Here is a 23,588-nt window from a genome sequence, read left to right as displayed (position 1 = left end):
AGAACTTTGTTCTTTTATTTTTACAACACCTTAACATGATAAAGTAACATCAATTATTGGATAATATTATTAAGCAATTGAAATTATGAACAGTGTAACAGTGTTGGTCCCTGAGCTGGATTCATGGTAAAGAAGTAATCATGGCCAGTGATTGAAAATCTGCAGTTTCATATTGCCAGTCACTGATGCCAAGGTTAAAGATGCATTCTGCCTTGTGGTCTGTCATTGATCTCAGGGTTTCTGTTCAGGGAGAGAACCAGATCATAAAAGCAACCCAACTGCCTATTACAAGAATCATATTTTGCAGAATGGGACCTTTGATGTTAGTGTAAAATCACAGTAACATTCTAACTTATTTCAATTGCAGAAAATCAGTACATATTATTTAAAAATTTTTATCCACTGTCATTAGTACACATTAGAATATATTAGACTTGGACTTAAGCAGATAGTGTAGATGCATAACACTATCATATTACTGTATATAATTTAAATTAAAATTTAAGAATTTGCATTTCTTTCTGTTTGATGTTGATTTCAGCTCCTAATAATTTAAAGTGTGTCTACACTCCAGTTAGTAATCTTTTAAAAAAGCACTTAAATGCACTGTAGGGACTCACTAGTTAGGGTATGGTGAAGTAAAATCTTTTCAATGAGGAAGTCTTTGCAACACTACAAATCATCTGCTAATTCATTTTTGGTAGATTTAACACATAATGAATTAAGTTTAATCCAAACAAATGGTGACACAGTTACGTTTGCTGGTTCATGTTTTTCTTCTCCCTTTGGCTAAGATAAATTATTTTTCAAGTGTTACTCAGAAGCCAGTGATGTGACAGTAGCTTAACATAGATTAAAAAGTTAATTCTTAATTTTAATTATTTATTTACTTTAGCAGGTAAATTTTAATTTTAATTATTTTCTAATTTTTCATTGTCCATACTTGATTACTTAAGAGTAAAATTATTTTAAAAGCATGTACTTCAAAAGAGCAGACATCTGAGCAATACAGCAAGCAAATTAACCTTCTATTTTTGCATCTGCAGAAAATGTCTCAAGAACCAGACATAAATAAGGATTGTGATAGAGAGGTATACCTTTATATTCAAATATTTCTGTTGAATTAGATTTTTACATTATGTTGTTTAACAAAGTGTAGTAAGTTTAGGCATGTATGATTCTATCATGTAAATAGCATAAATCATCAGTGAAAAATTTAGTATTTAACTCAGAACGCTAAGTTCTGTACATTGAGTTTTAGAGACAAACCGTAGAGATATTCTTCATCATTATGGAATAATCCTGAATGGTGCCATAAAATGGTAGGTAATGCCACTTTAGGAGCTTTGGATCAATCATTTTATCTCTTGGTTTTAGTCTGATTATCAATAGATAATGTGGCTAAAGAAGATAATCTCTTATTTTGTATATCCTCCAGCTAGAAAATTTTATGGCTATTGAATGTGAAATTTGGGGAGCATCTCATTTTCTGGAATTCCATGCTAGCACCTCAGCAGTTTTATTCTCCTCCTTGTGTTGTGGCAAACTTTGGTTCCCATGTTGCAGTGAGCACCTTTATATTTTTGATATCCCAGGAACCAAATGAAAAAAGAATAATCAAAGGCAGCGGGGGAGAAGAATATCGTAGTGTGGAAAAGGGCAATATTCCTTTCTATTCCTGAAGCCCCACAGTGTCTCATCCTCTAAATCTGACTGTTTAATGGAAAATCCAGGTGGTAAAGATGGAAGAAGACACATTTTGCATCTTTGTATTTTTATTTGTGTGCTCCCACAAGTCAGATGGGGTGACTATTTATATTAGATTCTGAAGAGTGGTTGGGAATAAAAGCACAAAATGAAGGAGGTCCCTTTTTGAAATTTTTGAAAATTATCTTATTCATTCAAACAGAAATGAAGGAAACTTTACAAAAATTTCAGTGTTATACTAATGATATAATAATTGCATCTTAAAATTGTATGGTAACAGTTCTGTATATATGATTAAATTTAAGTGTGAAATATTTTTAATAACTAAAGTAACAAACTGAGTCAAGTGATAAAATCAATTAAAATTAAAAGGTTCTTTTTATTCAATAAAGCAATAACCATCCTTAATATCAAACTTCCACTCAAGGTTGAAGAAGAAATGCAGAGGCACAGAAGTAATAACGTGGGAATATCAGAAAACCTGACTGATGGTGCCACTGCTGGCAATGGTGATGATGGATTAATTCCACAAAGAAAGAGCAGAAAGCCTGAAAATCAGCAATTTCCTAGCACAGAGAATGAAGAATATCATAGGTAAGCCTATGGCAACATTTAACAGGAGATAACTATGTGCATTCAAACTAATCCTAATTTGGGCTAATATTCATGATGAACAAATTTTATACTTTTACTAGGATATGCAGCCTTGTCTGGTAATCAGAAGAATGAAAATCAGCAAACAATGTGTTACCATTTTTTCCAGTCATTAATTTATTTGAAAAATAACCAGTATTGGCAAATGTGAGGGAAAAGGCATTTTCTTTTCTTTTTAGTGGACTTTAATTTTAGTTTTAAGGGTACATGTGCAGGTTTGTTATATAGGTAAACTATATCATGGAGATTTGGGCTACAGATTATTTCATCAGCCAGATAATAAGCAAAATACCAGATAGGTAGTTTTTTGGTGCTCTCCCTCCTGCTGCCCTCCACCCTCAAGTAGGCCCTGGTGTCTTCTTCTCCTCTTTGTGTTCATGTGTTCTCATTGTTTAGTTTCCACTAATGAGTAAGAATATGTGGCATCGGATTTTCTGTTCCTGCGTTAGTTTGCTTAGGATAATGGCCACCAGCTCCATCGGTGTTACTGTAATGGAAATGGTCTCATTGAAAAAGTCATTCTCATACCCTGTTGGTAAATACATTTTGAGTGTTAATTTAGTAGCATATTCACACACACACATATAGTAAGGATATATAATATATGTATGTTAAAGATATTTGTGTATATATGTGTATACATATTTATATACACTTATATACATTATATACATTTATATACATATATACTCGTTACATATATACTTATGTATAAGGACATTTATTACAGCATTATTATATCAACAAGCTGGAGTTACTGTAAGTCCTTATCAATAGGAAATAACTGAATTTTCAAACCCAGAAAATAATGTAGTACGCAGCCTTTTTTTTTTTTTTTTTTTTTTTTTTGAGACAGTCTCATTCTGTCGGCCAGGCTGGAATGCAGTGGCATGATCTCAGTTCACTGCAACCTCCGCCTCCCAGGCTCAGGCAATTCTCCTGCCTCAGCCTCCCGAGTAGCTGGGATTACAGGTGTGTGCCACCATGCCCGGCTAATTTTTGTATTTTTAGTAGAGACGGGGTTTCACCATGTTGGCCAGGCTGGTCTTGAACTCCTGACCTCGGGTAATCTGCCCGTCTTGGGCTCTTAAAGTGCTGGGATTACAGGCATGAGCCACCGTGCCCATCCAGTATGCAACCATTTTTTAAAAAATGAGGTTAGATCCAGAGTGTACTGATTATTTCACAATAAACGTGTATTTAAAACATTTAGTTTGATGACACATCTTAAGACAATTTTGTTAGAATTCTTGTAATATCTGCTATGTTGCAAATGGAAGCTACATGCTATGTTGACACTGTAACTTGTCAGCAACAAGATTGCTAGTTATTAAATTTTAGTTGTCAGTGCCTGAGTGCTGAAATATTGAAACCTCAATCTGAATATTGCCAAGGGATTGCACATGGGGATCTATATTTCATATAAACATTTCAGTATATTGGGTAAAACTTGTTAAAATGCATCAAAGGATCTTTGATCTACTAAACCAGGAGTTGGCCAGCTTTTTCTGCAAAGAGCCAGTTAGTAAATATTTTAGGCTTTGTGGACTATATATATTTATTCTTATGAGACAGGGTCTCGCTCTGTTGCCCAGGCTGGGGTACAGTTGCATGATCATGGCTCACTGCACCCTCGACTTTTTGGGCTCTAGTGATCCTCCCACCTCAGCCTCTCTACTAGCTAGGACCACAGGTGTGCAACATCACACCTAGCTAATTGACTCTATGGACTAGAAAGTGAATAAGCATGGCTGTGTTCCAACATACTTTATTTACAAAAACAGGCAGTGGGCTGGATTTGGCCCACAAGTGCTAATTCGCTGACTCTTGTGCTAAAAGGAAGGTGCTGCTAATACAGTGACTTTTATTTGTAAAAGTGCCCTGCACACATGACATTATTCTTCCTTTGAAAACAGAATATATTTCTGTATTCACCGCACCATAGTTTTCAACGGTGACTTCATATAATTTTTATATTCATATAATTCATATAATTATACTTCATATAATTTTCAAAATTTCATTGATAAAATAAGATTATTTTCTGCATTTTCCTGTTTTATTTCTGTTAATAGAACTCAGTATTTTACTGTGATCAATTACTTTGTATACTTGATGAGTATCAACTGTCCTAGAATTGCCTGGTTTTTATGAAGCAAGAAATACTTCCCTTGAAACTTTTAGTATTAGTCTATTTATAAGCATGAACAAAATGATAATGAGCTTATGTAATCTAGAAATGTTCAAGGGGGCTTTTAGTTCTATAATTTTAAGAATGTAATATGTTGGTCTGGCATTTTTAAATACCATATTGTATAATTTTTATAACCTTTAAAATATGTAATTATATAAAATTTGAAAACTGCACCATTTACATAAAGTTTGAAAACTACTGTTTCTTATCTATCACTATTCATGACTGTGGAAGCAAATTACATTATTCACAGTCATGACTCCTAAGTGTGATGTCCTTAAAAGAACTGTCTACACTCACAAACTCAAATTTTCTTTCCATTCACTCTTGATCTCATGCCAGTAGTCTTCAACTTCAGCACTCCTCCAAAATTGTTTTTCTCAAGGTTATCACTAATTTTTTCTGTAATAAATCTAGGCATTTTTTCTTACACCTCATTTTATTTAATTTGTCAGCAATATTTGACCCGTTGGAGGACATCTTCTCCCTAACAGCGTCTTCGCTTGGCTTTCAGGACTTCACTCCCTCAGGCTTTTCATCCTGTCTTTCTACTCTGTTCATCATGGTCTGTTTCACTTGCTCCTCCTCAGATTTCACCTTTTGTACATTGTTGTTTCCCAGGTCTCAGTCCCAAATCCTATTTCTCATGGCTCTTTCTTTCTTTCGTTCCTTTTTTTGTTTGTTTGAGACAGAGTCTCACTCTGTTGCCCAGACTGGAGTTCAGTGGCACGATCTCAGCTCACTGCAACCTCCACCTCCTGGGTTCAAGCAATTCTCCTGCTTCAGCCTCCTGAGTAGCTGGAATTACAGATGCATGCCACCATACCCGGCTAATTTTTGTATTTTTAGTAGAGACAGGGTTTCCCCATGTTGGCCAGGCTGGTCTCAAACTCCTGATCTCAGGTGATCCACCCACCGCGGCCTCCCAAAGTGCTGAGATTACAGGTGTGAGCCACTGCCCCCGGACCCTTGTGACTTTTTCTACTGTGTATATGCTAGTGATTTCCAAATGTATGTCTCCAGCTCGGTTCTCTCTCCTTAATTCCAGATCTCTATATCAACCTGCCTACTTGACATCTCTCTTTGGTTAGCTATTGGGTAGCACACACTTGTCAGCCCAAAATTGGGCTACTGATGTCCTTCCTGAAATCTACACCTCATGTAGTCTTTCCTACTTTGGTAAATGGCAACTCTTCCATTTGCTTTGCCAAAAACCTTCATGTCATTCTTGACTCATCTTTCTCTCTCTCTGATGCCTCACATCTAATCTATCAGCATATCTTATCAAGTATACTTGAAGAATATATCCAGAAGCCAGTCATATATTGTACATCTGAGTGACCATCGTCTGTAGTCTAGATGAGAGTCATAGACTGGTAATTGATAGTTCTGGTTTAAAAAAAAAATCCCTTTAAATCAATTCTTAACTCAGTGGATGTATTTAAAACATAAATCAAATTGTGTCATTCCTCTGCCCCAGCCCTTCTGATTGCCTCCCATTTCACTCTGAGTATGCATCAAAGTTCCTCCTAATAACTAAAAGACAGTACACCATCTGGCATATTATCCCTCCCACTTAAACTTCTATTTCTTATCTCCTTTGCTCTGCTTCAACCACACTGAACTTCTTGCTTTTCCTTATATATCCCTATTGTTTAAAGACTCCAGGCACACCTCTGTACTTGGCAGTTCCTTTTGTCTGGGATACTTTTCCCCCAGATATCCTCCCTGCTTACTCTTCCCATTCCTTCAGTTCTTTAATTAAAATACCCTTTCTCAGCAGGGACTTTTCTGGCCATCCCAACTTTCCCACCACTCTTCCCCTTAAACACATAAACATTTCATTTTCCTGATTTAGTTTTTCTCCTCTAACATACTGTATATTTTGCCTTATCTATTGTTGTGTGTTTATCTCATTCTCATGAATAGGATTTTTATTGTTCACTACCATATCCTCACTGCCTAGAAAAAGGCCTAACATATTGTATGTAGCTACCTAGTAAATACTTTTTTTTTTTTTTGAGACAGAGTCTCACTCTGTTGCCCAGGCTGGAGTGCAGTGGCATGATCTCGGCTTACCGCAAGCTCCACCTCCCAAGTTCATGCCATTCTCCTGCCTCAGCCTCCCAAGTAGCTGGGACTACAGGTGTCCACCACCACGCCCGGCTATTTTTTTTATACTTTTAGTAGAGTTGGGGTTTCACCATGTTTCTCAGAATGATCGCGATCTCCTGACCTCGTGATCCACCCACCTCTGCCTCCCGAAGTGCTGGGATTACAGGCGTGAGCCACCGTGCCCGGCCATAAATACTTATTAAATGAGTGAATGGAGTTTATCCTGGGTATATTGTTTGATTGATTCTCACTTAAAAAATGTTTGACATGGTTCATTCTAACAATTTTGCCTGGTAATTATATGCATTTTTTTATTCTTTTGGCTCTTTATAATGAGCTACATTCTTTATATTAATATTCCTTCATTTAGGGAGAAAAGCCCAATATTGTGGTTATTCACTATTTATTCTTTTACTGGTAATCATGATAATTGTAATTATGGCAAAATGAGTCAGAGGAATTGCAAATTTTACTGGTATTTTATCTAAAAAATTTTGAGTGGCAAATTTAATGGACTTACAAATTCTTTCCAAGGGATTATGAACCTTTGAGTGGCTTCTTGTTACCATGGCTACAAGTCAGTTTTTTCCTGAGTTTGAGTCAACTTTAACCAGAAATTTTCTATTTAAAAGTTGCCTTCCATTAACTGTTTTCAAAATGAAAGTATTTTATATTCCAGAATTGTAGACTTAATTTTAAAGTTTTGGTCAAGTTGAATTGGTTAATGAAAGCTCTCAGGAAGGTCTTCTTTTTTTTGATATATAATCTTGTCTTAACCAGAAGAGTTCTCTGCATAATTTATATCTTAAAAACAAGTGTTTTGTTTCTGTTTTTGGTATTTTTAGAAGTTTTTACTCAAGTCCTAAAATAATTTCCAGTGGGAGAATTTAGTCTCTTTGTCAGTTCATGTATGTATATGGTACTGATATTCTCTCTTTTTAAATTCCTTTTCTTGTTTACTCTCTTCTCTGTACAATAATAGTAATATTCTTATGCATGTTTACCTCATTAAAAAGTAATTACAATTTTCTGCTGGCAAATCTGGCTTTTTATATTTTGACTAAATACTAGGCTAAATGAAGAAAATTTACCAGATCATTTTATTTTCCAACAAAATCATAACTAATCAAAAACTGCTATTTTTGAAATATAAATAGTGAAATTTAGAAATTAGATATTTCTAAGGATACCCCCCAATATAGTTTCGCTTTGTGTCCCCACCCAAATCTCATGTCAAATGGTAATTTCCGGGTGTTGAGAGAAAGACCTGGTGGGAGGTGATTGGATCATGGGGTCAGTTTCCCCCATGCTGTTCTCGTGGTAGGAAGTTCTCACAAGAGCTGATGGTTTCATAAGGGGCTCTTTCCCCTTCACTTATCTCTCTCCTGCTACCTTGTGAAGAAGGTGCCTGCTTCCCCTTCCCCTTCAGCCATGATTGTACATTTCCTGAGGCCTCCTCAGCCATGTGTAACTGTGAATCAATTAAGCCTCTTTCCTTTGTGAATTACCCAGTCTCAGGTATTTCTTTATAGCAGTGTGAAAACAGACTAATACAAAGAATTGGTACCAGGGATAGTGGGATACTGCTATAAAGATAACCTGAAAATGTTGAAGCAACTATGGAACTGAGTAACAGAAAGAGGTTGTAACAGTTTGGAGGGCTCAAAAGAAGACAGGAAGACGCGGGAAAGTTTGGAACTTCCTACAGACTTGTTGAATGGTTTTTTTTTTTTTTTTTTTACCAAAATGTTGATAGTGATAGGGACAATGAAGTCCAGGCTGAGGTGGTCTTAGATAGAGATAAGGAGCTTTTTGGGAACTGGAACAAAGGTGACTCTTGCTATGTTTTAGTAAAGAGACTCACGACATTTTGCCCCTTCCGTAGAAATCTGTGAAACTTTGAACTTGAGAGAGATGATTTCAGGTATCTGGTGGAAGAAATTTCTAAGCAGCAATGCATTCCAAGTGGTGACCTGGTTGATTCTGAAAGCATTCAGCTTTATGCATTCACAAAGAGATGGTTTTAAGTTGGAACTTATGTTTAAAAAGGAAGCAGGGCATAAATTTGGAAAATTTGTAGCCTGACCATGGGGTAGAAAAGAAAAACAGCCCATTTTCTGGGGAGGAATGCAAGCTGGCCTGGGGAAAGTATCTCCAGGGCATGTCAGAGATCTTCATGGCAGCCACCCCCATCATAGACCCAGAGGCCTAGAAGGAACAAGTGGTTTCATGGGTTGGACCCAGGGCCCTGCTACTGTGTGCAGCCTCAGGACCTGGTGCCCTGTGTTCAGCTGCTACAGGTCCAGCTGTGGCTAAAAGGGGCCAAGGTGCAGCTTAGCCTTTATGAATTACCCGGTCCTCAGTATTTCTTTTTAGCAGTGTGAAAGTGGACTAATACACTCTCTCTCAGGACATTTTCCTGACTTAATCTTTCATGTTACATGTGCCACAGCTATTTTCAAAACTTCATTTAAAGGTAAACATTATTATAGTGAATAATAGAAACAGAAATATAGCTCAAATCTAATTATGATTTTCATGTTTAACAGTCATTGCCTGTATTCAGTGGACTCCAGCTTTTTAATGTAGCATTCAAATCCGTGTAGCATTCATCTATTCTTAGCTTCCAAGTATTTTACACTTTTCCTTTCAAGTTTTTAGTAAGCATCTAGACTTCGTATGCTTAATCTTTGTGCTCACATTCTGTTTTTTAACTAGAATGGTTTTCTCTTAATGATTTTTCCTAATTGGGCTCCTCTTATATTTTACCTCTTCTCTAAAGCCTTCCCTGTGCTAAAATATAACTTTTTATATATCAACTTTTACATAACACATTGTATCATAATTGTATATTACCTTGTTTTTGAAGCAGGGAATGCACATTTCCTTTTATGTTGTTTGCACTTTATAACCATTTTTTAAATTAATAAGTGGATTGAGATGGAGAAGAGTTGGAGTTTTACAAAATTTTTTTTTTTGTTCATTGTCAATAGGGTTATTGGAAAACATTGGCTTTTTATAGATTTTTTAAAATAGTGGTTTGCCTTGCATGTGAAGAAAGTAAAGAAACATGAAAATAAAAAACGGACCTCAAAATAATCTGTGATTACACCCATGTTTGAGAAGGTCAATTTACTAACTCACGGTCTGCTACAAATAAATGATGACAGCAGTTTAAGTGAAATAGATGAGGATGAAAGAAGGTAAAATTTACAAGTCCTTTATAAGAAATCTCTAGGAATACCCCATCAAAAAGTGGGCAAAGGATATGAACAGACACTTCTCAAAAGAAGACATTTACACAGCCAACAAACATATGAAAAAAAGTTCATTATCACTGGTCATTAGAGAAATGCAAATCAAAACCACAATGAGATACCATCTCATGCCAGTTAGAATGGCGATCATTAAAAAGTCAGGAAACAACAGATGCTGGAGAGGATGTTGAGAAATAGGAATGGTTTTACACTGTTAGTGGGAACGTAAACTAGTTCAACCATTGTGGAAGACAGTGTGGCAACTCCTCAGGGATCTAGAACCAGAAATAACATTTGACCCAGCAATCCCATTACATGGTAAATACCCAAAAGATTATAAATCATTCTGCTGTAAAGACACATGCACACATATGTTTATTGCAGCACTATTTACAATAGCAGAGACTTGGAACCAACCCAAATGCCCATCAATGATAGACTGGATAAAGAAAATGTGGCACATTTACACCATGGAGTACTATGCAGCCACAAAAAAGGATGAGTTCATGTCCTTTGCTGGGACATGGAGGCAGCTGGAAATATCATTCTCAGCAAACTAACACAGGAACAGAAAACCAAACACTGCATGTTCTCACTCATTAGTGGGAGTTGAACAATAACACATGGACACAGGGAGGGAACTTCACACACTGGGGTCTGTCGGGCAAGGTGAGGGATAACAGGAAAAATACTTAATGTATGTGGGACTTAAAACCTAGATGATGTGTTGATAGGCGCAGCAAATCACCATGGCACATGTATACCTATGTAACAAACCTGCACGTTTTGCACATGTATCCCAGAACTTAAAAAAAAAAAAAAGGTAGGCCAGGCGCGGTGGCTCACACCTGTAATCCCAGCACTTTGGGAGCCCGAGACAGGCAGATCACCTGAGGTCTGGAGTTTGAGACCAGCCTCATCGATATGGTGAAACCCCATCTCTACTAAAAATACAAAATTTGCCAGACATGGTGGCACATGCCTGTAATCCCAGCTACTCGGGAGGCTGAGGCAGAATTGCTCGAACCCAGGAGGCGGAGGTTGTGGTGAGCTGGGATTGCGCCATTGCTACTTGGGAGGCTGAGGCAGGAGAATTGCTTCAACCTGGGAGGTGGAGGTTGTGGTGAGCTGAGATCACACCATTGCACTCCAGCCTGGGCAACAAGAACAGAACTTCGTCTGGAAAAAAAAAAAAAAAAAAAAAAAGAAAGAAATCTCCGGGAAGGAATGTTAACACTGATTACTTTTATTTTTGGAAATAGAATAATGTAGTCTCTCAAAGCTGGAGAGTACTCAACTATATCAATGCTGTTGAAAGATTGATTACAATAAGGATTAGTGACTTTGACTAGGAGCAGTGTCAATAAATGGTAGCCATGGAACTCTGTAGTAGATGAACGTAGACAACTCTTGAGAGGAACTTTACTGAGAAAGGCAATAGAGAAATGGGCAGTAACTGAAAAAGAATGTGGGATTTGAGGATTTGAGGGAGTTTTCTCTCTTTTGGTATTTCAAAACAGAAATTTTTAGAGTTTTTTTTTTTTTACTTTTGGGAGTGATCCATAGTAGAAGAACATGTTTATGAAATGTTATTTTGTTTACTTGGTTGCATGTCTCAGCATTAGCTTGATTCATTATTTTTATGGGTGTTTAGCAAACTAATTGTCCTTAGAACTTCTATTCATGTATAGTTTTTGTTTTGTTTTGTTTTGTTTTTGAGACAGAGTCTTGCACTGTCACCCAGGCTGGAGTGCAGTGGCGCGATCTTGGCGCACTGCAACCTCTGCCTCCCAGGTTCAAGCAATTCTCCTGCCTCAGCCTCCCAAGTAGCTGGGATTACAGGCATGTGCCACCACGCCTAGCTAATTTTTGTATTTTTAGTAGAGACGGGGTTTCACCACGTTGACCAGGCTGGTCTTGAACTCCTGACCTCAAGTGAACTGCCCACCTCGGCCTCCCAAAGTGCTAGGATTACAGGGGTGAGCCACCGCACCCAGCCTATTCATGTATAGTTTTATGATTAGAGTTGTTTTTTTCAGAATTGGTTTAGAAGTGTAACATTAGTGTAACTGAACATGCAGATGATGACCTAAATCTTAAGCTATCATACACAGATTTTTAAAAATAATTATAATAAACATCCACACACTTATGCCATGATGAATAGAACTTAAATATTTCATCATAATTGTACATATTGCAGTACCTTTGACAGTAGCCATGATTTGCTGAGTTACTTACTCTAAAATATCAGGTGTATCAACTTTACAGTTGTTTAGATTCTGGGGAGTAGGGAAGGATTTTGTTCATGAACTTGAGAAAAGCAAACTATTGACAAACTATTGCAGATTATTACTTCAGGATTGTAAAGTTTGAAAGCATCAAAACCATGTTTCCCTTGGACAACAGTGTCATCAGCATGTGTTGTGTGCCCAACGAGTATTTGTTGAATGCATGAATAAACAGTTGAAGAGATGAATGAATGCCATTGATTAATTTCTTTTAAAAAATAAATTTTTAGTGTTTTGAAAGTAGTAGGTTTCCAAACTTGCCTCCGTATAAAGTCTTTTTATTTTTTTTAAAAGTGCAAGATTCAGAAATTATTAGTTATAATTATAGCCAAAAATGTAATGATAATATGGATTCATCTGCTATCATATCTCTTAAAAACACTTGGAAATAAATATTACCTTCACAGGATATTGCAAAACACACGTTTTAGAGGCAGAATTCTTGAGTTTCAATGCTGTGTAGACTACTGACCAGCTCTGTGGGCTGGGGAAATTTATATGGCCTTTCCGTGCCTAGTTTCTCCCTTTATAGAATCTCTAATATGTTACCTACCTCACAGAATTGTTATGATAATTAAAATGAGCTTGACAAATGCACAGTGCTTAGAATGATGCATAGTACCTGCATAACAAGTCCTGAAAAAGTGAATATTATCATTAAAAAGGGTTCCCCTCATATAAGAACATAAGTAATATGTTCCAAATAGGTTTTAGTGTTAGTAGAAGCTTGTTTTTATTGTAAAGGACAACAGTGAGAAGTTCTGGTATATTTATTTCTATCACATAATACAAGTAATGTGTTTTTCCTTTTGTCTTGACTGTCAGAAAGCTTGATCTAAATTTAATTCTTTGTAATGATATTATTACCATATTTTGTCTCCCTTAATGTTACTCTTTCTGTTTATAGTTTAATTCCCCTTATGGAAAATAATTATATTTACATTACCTGTTAAAAATGACCTGAACACTTAATGAAAAGAAGAAACAACTTATAAATGCAGAGATTTTATATAATAAAATAATAGTTTTGGACATTCTTTGTATTTTATGTGTTTACCATTTGTCTAAAAGGAATTGTTTCTTTTTTCAGGCCTGAAAAGAAATTTAATGAAAAGAACACGGTATTGTAAAATTAAATTATCTAAAACATTATTGTTAAGAAAAAAACACATTATAAAAGGTTAAGTGAGAATCTTTGGTTATAAAGACATGTAGTGAGGAAGAAAGGGCTTGGTCGGGCGTGGTGTTTCATGCCTGTAATCCCAGCACTTTGGGAGGCCCAGGCAGGCAGATCACAAGGTCAGGAGTTTGAGACCAGCCTGCACAACATGGTGAAACCCCGTCTCTGCTAAAAATACAAAAATTAGCCGGGTGTGGTGGCATATTCCTATAATCCCAGCTACTCGGCATGCTGAGGCAGAAGAATTGCTTGAACTTGGGAAACGGAGGTTGTAGTGAGCCGAGATGGCGCCGTTGCACTCCAGCTTGGGTAATAGAGTGAGACTCTGTAAAAAAAAAAAAAAAAAAAAAAAAAAAAAAGTGCTTAGGAAAAGAAAAAAGGGCTTAAGAAAGAGTAGCCTAGCCATTGATAATGGTACCCTTTTAAGAAAAATCTGTTGTTTTAAGAAGTGCCTGTGGTTTTGCTCATATAAAAAGATGAATAAATACCACTTCTGTACATCTAGAATATTCTGTAAATATTTTGAGGACATTTGAAGCAGTATTATTTAACTCACAGGTCAAAAGTGAAATACATTCAGTGGATGACCTTGATGACATAACGTGGCCATCTGAAATAGCCTCAGAGGATTACGATTTGCCTTACCCTAATTATGAGACTTTTATGTTGCTCACTGAACAAATCAAAATGGATTTTAACGGTAGGACCATTGCATAAGTAGAATGACTTTTTATGTATCCTACAGTAATATTTGCACACATTGCTTAGCGTTGCACCATAGAGCACTAACGTGTTATAGTGTTGCTTATCTCAGAAATATGTTTAACGTTAAAGTAGACTGAGAAATAATGTATATTGTATACCAAAGCTATGATAACTCCACGGTGCCTTTCTCAGTATGAAGGGCAGTCTCAGCATTTTTGTTGACTCTTCTTCTCTTATATGCCTTATTCTCAGATCAGGTTACCATTCTCTCCCACTCGGGATACTGCAATAACCTTAGAACTGTTTTTCTTGCTACCCCATTTCCTGAGACCATGGTCTACTCTGAAACTATAATTATTAATTTTTAAAAATTCAGATCTGATGTTATCTCTTGCTTATACCTCAGCTTACCACTTGCCATTGCTATAAGGTTAAGATTTGAATACTTGAGCTCTCTCCTGCATCATTTAATATACTTTTTTCCTCTTTGTCCTAGCTATTGTCTTAGATGTTTATTCCTGCAACTGACAGCTTTAGTGAGGCATAACTGATATACGATAGACAGCACATATATAAAACGTAAAATTTGATAAGTTTTGGCATATGTATGCACATGCAAAACCATCACCATAATCAAGACCGATAACATACCCATCATCCATAAAAGTCTCTTCCTGTCCCTTTGTATTCCCTTATTAAGAAACTACTAAATGTTTAAGTATTTGTGCTATTTTCCATTCCTATCAGCAGTATATGATAATTCTCCTTGTTCCATATCGTCATGAGCTCTTAGTACTGCTGTTTATTAGTTTTAAGTTTTTAGCCATTCCAATGGGTGCATGTTGTGCGTGTCACTATGGTGTGAATGTGCATTACCCTAAGGACTAAGAATGTTGAACATGTTCCCGAGTGCTTTATTTGCCACCTGTATATCTTCTTTAGTGAAATGGAGAGCTTATAAAGAATTAAAAATTAGGGCCGGGCGCGGTGGCTCACGCCTATAATCCCAGCACTTTGGGAGGCCGAGGCCGGTGGATCATGAGGTCAGGAGATCGAGACCATCCTGGCTAACAAGGTGAAACCCCGTCTCTACTAAAAATACAAAAAATTAGCCGGGCGCGGTGGCGGGCGCCTGTAGTCCCAGCTACTTGGGAGGCTGAGGCAGGAGAATGGCGTGAACCCGGGAAGCGGAGCTTGCAGTGAGCCGAGATTGTGCCACTGCAGTCCACAGTCCGACCTGGGCGACAGAGCGAGACTCTGTCTCAAAAAAAAAAAAAAAAAAAAAAAAAAGAATTAAAAATTAGATAGTTTTTATTCTTATTTCTTGAGTTTTAAGAGTTTTTTTTTTAATAGATTCTGGATATTATTCCTTTATTATGCTTTTTGGAAGGATTTTTTTTCCCAGTTTGTGGCTTGACCTTTTGTTTTCTTAATATATTTTAAAGAGAAGAAGTTTTTCATTTTGATGAAGTCTGATATATGTGTTCATTTAATTATGGATTTTGCTTTTTGTGTCATATCTAAAAAAGTATTTGTCCAGCACAAGGTCCCAAAGATTTTCTCCTCTGCTTTCTTGAAGAATTTTTATAGATTTAGGTCTTACATTTATATCTGTGATCCACATTGTGTACATTTTTGCTTATGGAGTGAGGTGTGGATGCAAGTTCATTTTATGGATGTGGATATCTAATTGTTCCAGCCACATATGTTGAAAAGGCTTTCTCTTTTCTCCACTACATTGCTATCGTGCATTTGTGAAAAATAAGTTGGCTGTATGTGTGTGGGTCTATTTCTGGACTGTTTGTTGTGTTCCATTGATCTACATATTCTTCTAGAGTTACACTGATAAACCAATCATAAGTTGAAAATCCATTTAATACCCCAGTAGGCTGGGATCACTCCTGTAATCCCAGCACTTTGGGAGGCTGAGATGGGCGGATCACGAGATCAGGAGACCGAGACCATCCTGTCCTGGCTAACACGGTGAAACCTCATCTCTAGTAAAAATAGAAAAAAATTAGCCAGGTGTGGTGGCAGGCGCATATATTCCCAGCTACTCGGGAGGCTGAGGCAGGAGAATGGTGTGAACCTGGGAGGTGGAGCTTGCAGTGAGCCAAGATAGCACTACTGCACTCCAGCCTGGGTGACGGAGCGAGACTCCGTCTCAAAAAAAAAATACCCCAATAAACCCATCGTACAGTTGAAAAATTCTAAGTAGAACCATCTTAAATTGGTTTCTGGCTTTCTTTATGTAGGTCTAGCATCCCTAATACCAAAATCCAAAATCAGAAATGCTCCAAAATCCAAAACTTTTTGAGTGCCAACATGATGCCACAAGTAGAAAATTTCACACTAGACCTCAAGTACACAAACTAAATTTACTAAAAGTATTCCATAAAATTACATTTAAGCTCTACGTATAAGGTGTATATAACATAAGTGTATTTTGTGTTTAGACTTGGGTTCCACCCTCGAGATATCTGATTATATATATGCAAATATTCCAAAACCCAAAACACTTTTGGTACCACACACTTTGAGAGCTATTCCACCTGTAATAGTAACACACTGTTTTCATTACTGTAAATTTATACTAAATCTTGACATCAGCCCTTTGGTTTTCTTCTTTTTTAAGGGTTATTTTGACTATGCTGGATCTTTTGCATTTCCACATGAGTTTTGGAATCAGATTGTTATTTTTTTTTTTAAAAGCCTGCTGTCAGCCGGGTGCGGTGGCTCACATCTGTAATCCCAGCACTTTGGGAGGCTGAGGCAGGCAGATCACGAGGTCAGGAGTTTGAGACCAGCCTGACCAAAATGGAGAAACCCCATCTCTACTAAAAATACAAAATTAGCCAGGTGTGGTGGCGCATGTCTGTAATCCCAGCTACTCAGGAGGCTGAGGCAGGAGAGAATCACTTGAACTGAGGAGGCAGAGGTTGCAGTGAGCCGAGATTGTGCCATTGCACTTCAGCCTGGGCAACAAGAGTGAAACTCTATCTCAAAAAAAAAAAAAGCCTGCTGTCTTTCTGGGAATTACACTGAGTTTGTATTCAATCTATACATTAATTGGGGGAGGATTGACATTTTAATGATAATGCATTGTTCCACTCCTATGAAATTGTTCCTCTCCTATGAAATTGTTCCTATTTATATAGGACAAATTTAATTTTCTCAGTAATATTTTGTAGTTTTTTAAATATGTGTTTCTTTTTTTTTTTGAGACAGAGTGTCACTCTGTCACCCAGGCTGGAGTGCAGTGGTGCAATCTTGGCTCACTGCAACCTCTGCATCCTGGGTTCAAATGATTCTCCTGCCTCAGCCTCCTGAGTAGCTGGGATTATAGGCATGAGACACCGTACCCAACTAACTTTTTTATTTTTAGTAGAGATGGGGTTTTATTATGTTGGCCAGACTGGTCTTGAACTCCTGACCTCAAGTGATCCTCCAGGCTTGGCTTCCCAAAGTGTTGGGATTATAGGTGTGAGCCACTGCACCCAGCCTTGGTGTTTCCATATTTTATCTGATTCATCAGTATCTCATTTTTTAAATGAAGTTACGATATTTTTTTAAATTTCAAGTTAATTGTTTATTGCTAGTATATAGGAATACAGCTGATTTTTGTATGTTGATTTTTGTATCCTCCAGCCTTGCTAAACTTACTTATTATTAGTTCTAGTAACTTTTTTGGTATATTTGATCATATTTTATACATACAACAATGATCATCAAATATTTTCATTCTCAAACTACTGTTTTACTAAAGATAGGAAATCTTTCAGACTTGCGGCAGAACAGTCTCTGTTGCAGCTAATCAACTCTGCCATTGTAGTATGAGAGCAGCCAGGGAGAATACATACATTAATGAACACAGCTGTGTTCCAATAAAACAAGAAGCTGGCCCACAGGTTGTAGTTTATCTGCCCCTATTATGTGATCATGGTTGTGAATAAAGACAGTTTTACTTCTTCTTTCCAACCTGGATACCTTTTATTTCTTTTTCTTGTCTGACACCACTGGCTAGAATCTTTAGCATAAAGCTTACTAAAGATTTGAAAGCAGACATTCCTGTGTTGTTCCTGATATGGGGAAAGCATTCAGTGTGTCATTGTGATACACGTTAGCTGTAGGTTTGTCATAGATGCTTTGTGTCATGCTGATGAAGTTCATTTGTATTCTTAGATTGCTGAGAGGGTTTTTTTTTTAATCAAGAATGAAATTGAATTTTATCAAATGCCTTTATCTACTGAGATAATCATAAGGTTCTTCTGTTTTAGTTTTTTAATTAGTTGAATAACTAATATTTTAATGTTAAACCAACCTTGCATTTTAGAATAAAACCCATTTGCTTAGGATGTAGGCTTTTTAAAAATAGTATATCATTGGCGCTGGACACGGTGGCTCATGCCTGTAGTTTCAGCACTTTGGGAGGTCAGAGCAGGAGGATTGCTTGAAGCTGGAGTTCGAGACCAACCTGGGCAACAAAGTTAGACCCTGTATTTATTTGTATCCAGTTTGCCAAAATTTTGTTTAGAAATTTTAAAAGACTATTTTAATGTAGTTTTAGGTTCACAGCAACATTGAGAGGTACAGAGATTGTCTGTGTAGTTCCTGTCCCCAGACATGCATAGCCTTTCCCATTATCAGTATCCCTCACTAGAGTGGTACAGTTGATATGATTGATGAACCAAAATGGCACGTCATAATCATCCGAAGTTCATAGATTATATTAGTGTGCACTCCTGGCATTCTACAATATGTGGGTTTGGAAAGGACATATATTCATCATTATAGTATTGTACAAATTATTTTTACTGCTCTAAAATTCCTTTGTGTTTCACCTGTCTGCCTTTCCTTCCCTCCTCAACCCCAGGCAACCACTGATCTTTTTACTGTATCCATAGTTTTGCCTTTTCTAGAATGTCATATAGTTGAAATCATACAGTGCATATCCTTCAGATTGGCATCTTTCACTTAGTAATATGCATTTATGTTTCCACCATGTCTTATGACATGATAGCTTATTTTTGTTTAGCATTGACTAATAGTTCATTATATGACTGTGCTAGAGGTTGTTCACTCACCTATTGGAGGATATCTTGGTTGCTTCAGAAATTGGTTAAATTTTTTGTCAACGTTCATGAGGGAGTTTTCTTTTTTGTAATATCACTGTTTGGTTCAGGGTAATGCTAGCATTATAGAATGAGTTGTGTTGTATTTCCCCACTTTATTTTTTGGGGGAGAGGTTGTGTAAAATTATATTACATCTTCCTAAAATGTTTGATAGAATTCACCAGCACAGCTGTCTGAGCTTGGAGTTTTCTCAACTTTATTTTCTTTTGTGGATATAAGGGGATTTGGGTTATCTATTTCTTCTTGATTGAGCTTTGGTAATTTTTATTTTTCAAGGAATGTGTCCATTTAATTTAAGTTGTCATGGTTAGTTACATAAAGCTCACATTATTATCTTGCCATTCTTTTAATATCTGTAGAATGTATAAAAATGTCACATTGGGCCGGGCACCGTGGCTCATGTCTGTAATTCCAGCACTTTGGGAAGCCAAAAAGGGTGTATCACCTGAGGTCAGGAGTTCGAGACCAGCCTGGCCAACATGGTGAGACCCCTCACGTCTACTAAAAATGCAAACGTTAGCTGGGCTTGGTGGCAGGCACCTGTAATCCCAGCTACTCAGGAAGCTGAGGCAGGAGAATCTCTTGAACCCAGGAGGTGGACGTTGCAGTGAGCTGAGATTGTGCCACTGCACTCCAGCCTAGACAACAGAGCGAGATTGTATCTCCAAAAAAAAAAAAAAAGTCACATTACTTATTTCTGAAATTAGTAATTTGTTATCTTTTTTATTATCAGCCTGGCTAGATCGAGGTTTATCACTTTCATTGACCTCGAACTGTTTGGTTTTATTGATTTTCCCTTTTCTGTTTTATTGGTTTTATCTTTGATGTCATCATCTGTTTGGCCTGCTGTCACAAAATACCATAGACTGGGTAGCTTATAAACAACAGAAACTGATTTCTTATATTCCTGGAGGCTGCAAAATCCAAGATCAAGGTGCCAGAAAATTGAATGTCTGGTGAGGGATCAATTCCTGGTTCCTACTTTCCCTTTTCTCCCCTGTGTGCTTCATATGACAGAAGGGGTGAATGAGCTCTCTGGTGTCTCAGATAAGGGCACTAATCCCATTCATGAGGGCTTGGATTCCATGAGCCAATTGCCTCCACAAAGCTGCAGTTCCTAATAACATCACTTCTTTGATTAAGTTTCAGCATATGAGTTTTGGGAGGACACAAATGTTCAGACCATAGCAGATATTTATTATATTATTTCCTCTGCTTCTTTTGGGTTTAATTTGCTCTCTCTCTCTCTCTTTTTTTTCTTTTTGTAGTTTCTTCTTTTTTACTTTCATAAGATAGAAGTCAAGGCCATTGATTTGAGAGTCTTCCAGTATAGACATTCAGTGCTAACTTTTTAAATGCGTTGTAGCTTTAGTCCACAAATTCTGATATGGACTATTTTCATTTTTATTCACTTCAAAATAGTTTCTAATTTCTCTTTGCATTATGTCTTTGACCTAGGGTTATTTAGATGGGTGTTACTTTGTTTCTAAATTTTTGAGTATTTTGATGAGATATTTTGTTAGTGATTTTAATTTGATTCCTTTGTGGTCAGGGATCATACTTTCTATGACTTAAATCCTTTGACTTAATTCTTTTATGAAGATTTATTGTATAGCCTAGAATATGGTCTGTTTTACTAAGTGTTCCAAGGGTAGTTGAGAAGCATTGTGTTCTTCAAGTCTACTCTCATCTTGCTGATTTTCTGCCTCCTTGTTCTATCACATATTGAGTAAGCAATACTGAAAACTCAGACTATACCTGTGAATTTGTCAATTTGTTCTATCAGTATTTTCCTCATGTATTTCAAAGCTGTTATGTTACTAGGTACATAAACATTTAGGGTTATATGTTCTTGATTAATTGAACATTTATCATGAAATGATGTTGTTTATAGCTAGTAATATTTTTTTGCTGTGAAATCTACTTTTGTATTAACATAATCATTCCTGCTTAGCTTTCTTTTGTCAACTGTGTGGTCTATATTTTTCATCCTTTTAATTTGCATCTTTACATTTAAAGTGTGTTTCTTATAGGTAGCATGGAGTAGGATCTTGCTTTTTATACAGTTTGACAATCTGTCTTTTAGGTTTTTAGGCCAGTTTTATTTATAATGTGATTATTGATATATTAATAGTTAAGTTTATCTGTCATGCTGTTTGATTTTCATTAGTTCCAGCTGTTCTTTGTTCCTTTCTTTTCCTGCTTTCTTTTCAATTAGTTATGTAATTTTTATGATTTAGTTTTATCTTTTTTTGGCTTATTGTCTATAACTCTTTTTTTGCTGTGTTAGTGGTTGCATTACAATTTGTACTGTATGATTTTAACTTATCATAGCTCACCTTCAGGCAATATTATATAATATCATATATGGCATAAGAAAATTAGAGTAGTATACTTTCATTTTCTCTCTCCCAGCCAGATTCTTCCTGGATTTGTAGGATTATAGTTTTTATTACGTTTAGAAAGTTTCTGGCCACTATCTTTATGTTTTTGTCTTTCTGTCTTCCTCCCTCTTTGGGGACTTATATATTGTTGCTTAAAATTTTCTCATAGTTCTCTGATGTCTCAAATTTATGAATTTTATTTTTTGTGATATCTAGTCTGTATTTACTTCCATCCAGTGTTGTTTTCAGTCCTAACTTTTTTTTTTGAGACCAAGTCTTGCTCTGTCACCCAGGCTGGAGTGCAGTGGCTTGATCACCACTCACTACAACCTTCGCCTCCCGGGTTCAAGCCATTCTCCTGCCTCAGCCTCCTGAGTAGCTGGGGTTATAGGTGCCTGTTACGATGGCCACCTAAATTCTTTGTATTTTCAGTAGAGATGGGGTTTCACCATGTGGGCCAGGCTGGTCTCGAACTCCTGATCTTAAGTGATCTGCCCGCCTCGGCCTCCCAAAGTGCTGGCATTACAGGTATGAGCCACTGTACCTGGCCCAGTCCTAACATTTTAATTTTAATTCCTACTAGTGCAATTTGCTTTCAAGAAATATCTTCTTTGCCTCTACTTGAGATTTATTTGGGGACACAGTTGACTTACTTATAAACAACTTGATCTTTCTGGTCTTGCTTTATGATTTGGTCTAACTTTCCACTCGAGACAAGGTGTTTCTAATAACGCTATTCTTTGCCCTGTGAAGTTTTTCCAGTATCAGTCATAGGAATGGACACTCTTCCTGGTATATTATGTGAGCAACAGGCACTGTTTCTTTTAATTTTTTAAGGATTTTTTTCGACCTGGTCTCAAGTAGTTTCCTAGCACACATATACTGTTCATTACTCTGTTAAATAAATACCCAAGAGGGTATTTTTGCAGATCTTTATTGTTCTTCTCCTATACTGTTCTCTCGTTTCCAGTGTTCTGTTTTGTGATTTCTGTCTGCCTTGATGTTTTTTTGAGCCTCTCAGCTTCGTTGTTCCAATTCAGGGAATCTGGCGGACTCTACCTCAATTTTATTTTCTCCTGTTGTCATGGCCTGGAAACTTTGTCCAGTCAGTTTGCTGGGGTGTTTGTAAATCTTACTTCATTTGTTTCCTGTCTTACAGGGATCATCGTCTTCATTACCTGCAGTCCATGTTCTTGAAAATCATTGTATTGTGTATTTTGTCTTTCTTGTTTTTGTTTCAGGCAAGAAGGTAAATCAGTATCTGCTGCTCCATTGTGGCCAGAAGCAGACTGCAGCAGAGCTTCAGCACATGCCGTAGACTAGCTAGAATGCTTTTCTACTCCCTTTACTTAACTGCTTCCTTCTCACCCTTCATTACTCAGTGTAGCCATCTCTTCCCCAGGGAAATCTTCCTGAGCCCAGTATAGATCAAATTCTGTGTTATCATAGAACTGTTTTCTTGCAGCATCTATCTGAATTTGTAATTTAGTATTTGTTTTTCACTACACCTAAAGCTAAACAAGAACAGAGTTACTGTTTGTTTTATCTGCAGAGCTCAGTAGAATGTCTTCCACATGGTAGGAACTCAGTGCATATTTGTTTGGTGTATGGATGGGTGAATGTTAAAATGCACAGGACTTTATATCCAAAAAGTACTCATATATTTTATTTCCACCTTGTTTTCCCCCAATGCAGATTCTGCTAGCCTATCAAAAATCCAGGATGCAGTTCTTTCAGATGAACACTTACTAGAACTTAAAAGTAATCACTGTGAACAACTTACAATAGAAATTGAACAAATGGAAAATATGATTCATGTACTACAAAAGAAGCTGTCTGAAACAAAAGAAACACAATTACAGTTAGAACATGAAAAAGATGAATGGGAGCAAGAACTCTCCACTTTGGGGGGAGGAGCCAAGATGGCCGAATAGGAACAGCTCCGGTCTACAGCTCCCAGTGTGAGTG

The 23,588-nt window shown here is 36.8% G+C and overlaps 1 protein-coding gene across 1 annotated transcript; it reads left to right on the top strand.

The window, feature by feature from the left end:
• Window positions 1-1,050: 1,050 nt before the first annotated feature.
• LOC105375817 (POTE ankyrin domain family member A-like) lies at window positions 1,051-23,588 on the top strand. Its single transcript, XM_017014129.1, has 5 exons — window positions 1,051-1,091; window positions 2,135-2,301; window positions 13,309-13,339; window positions 13,957-14,098; window positions 23,316-23,588. The coding sequence occupies exons 2-5, from the start codon at window positions 2,147-2,149 to the stop codon at window positions 23,552-23,554; spliced, it is 567 nt and encodes a 188-aa protein (XP_016869618.1). The 5' UTR covers window positions 1,051-1,091; window positions 2,135-2,146; the 3' UTR covers window positions 23,555-23,588.

Source organism: Homo sapiens, chromosome 8 (assembly GCF_000001405.40).
Source record: "Homo sapiens chromosome 8, GRCh38.p14 Primary Assembly".
Taxonomy (NCBI): Eukaryota; Metazoa; Chordata; class Mammalia; order Primates; family Hominidae; genus Homo; species Homo sapiens.
This window is presented reverse-complemented; position numbering and strand designations above follow the sequence as displayed.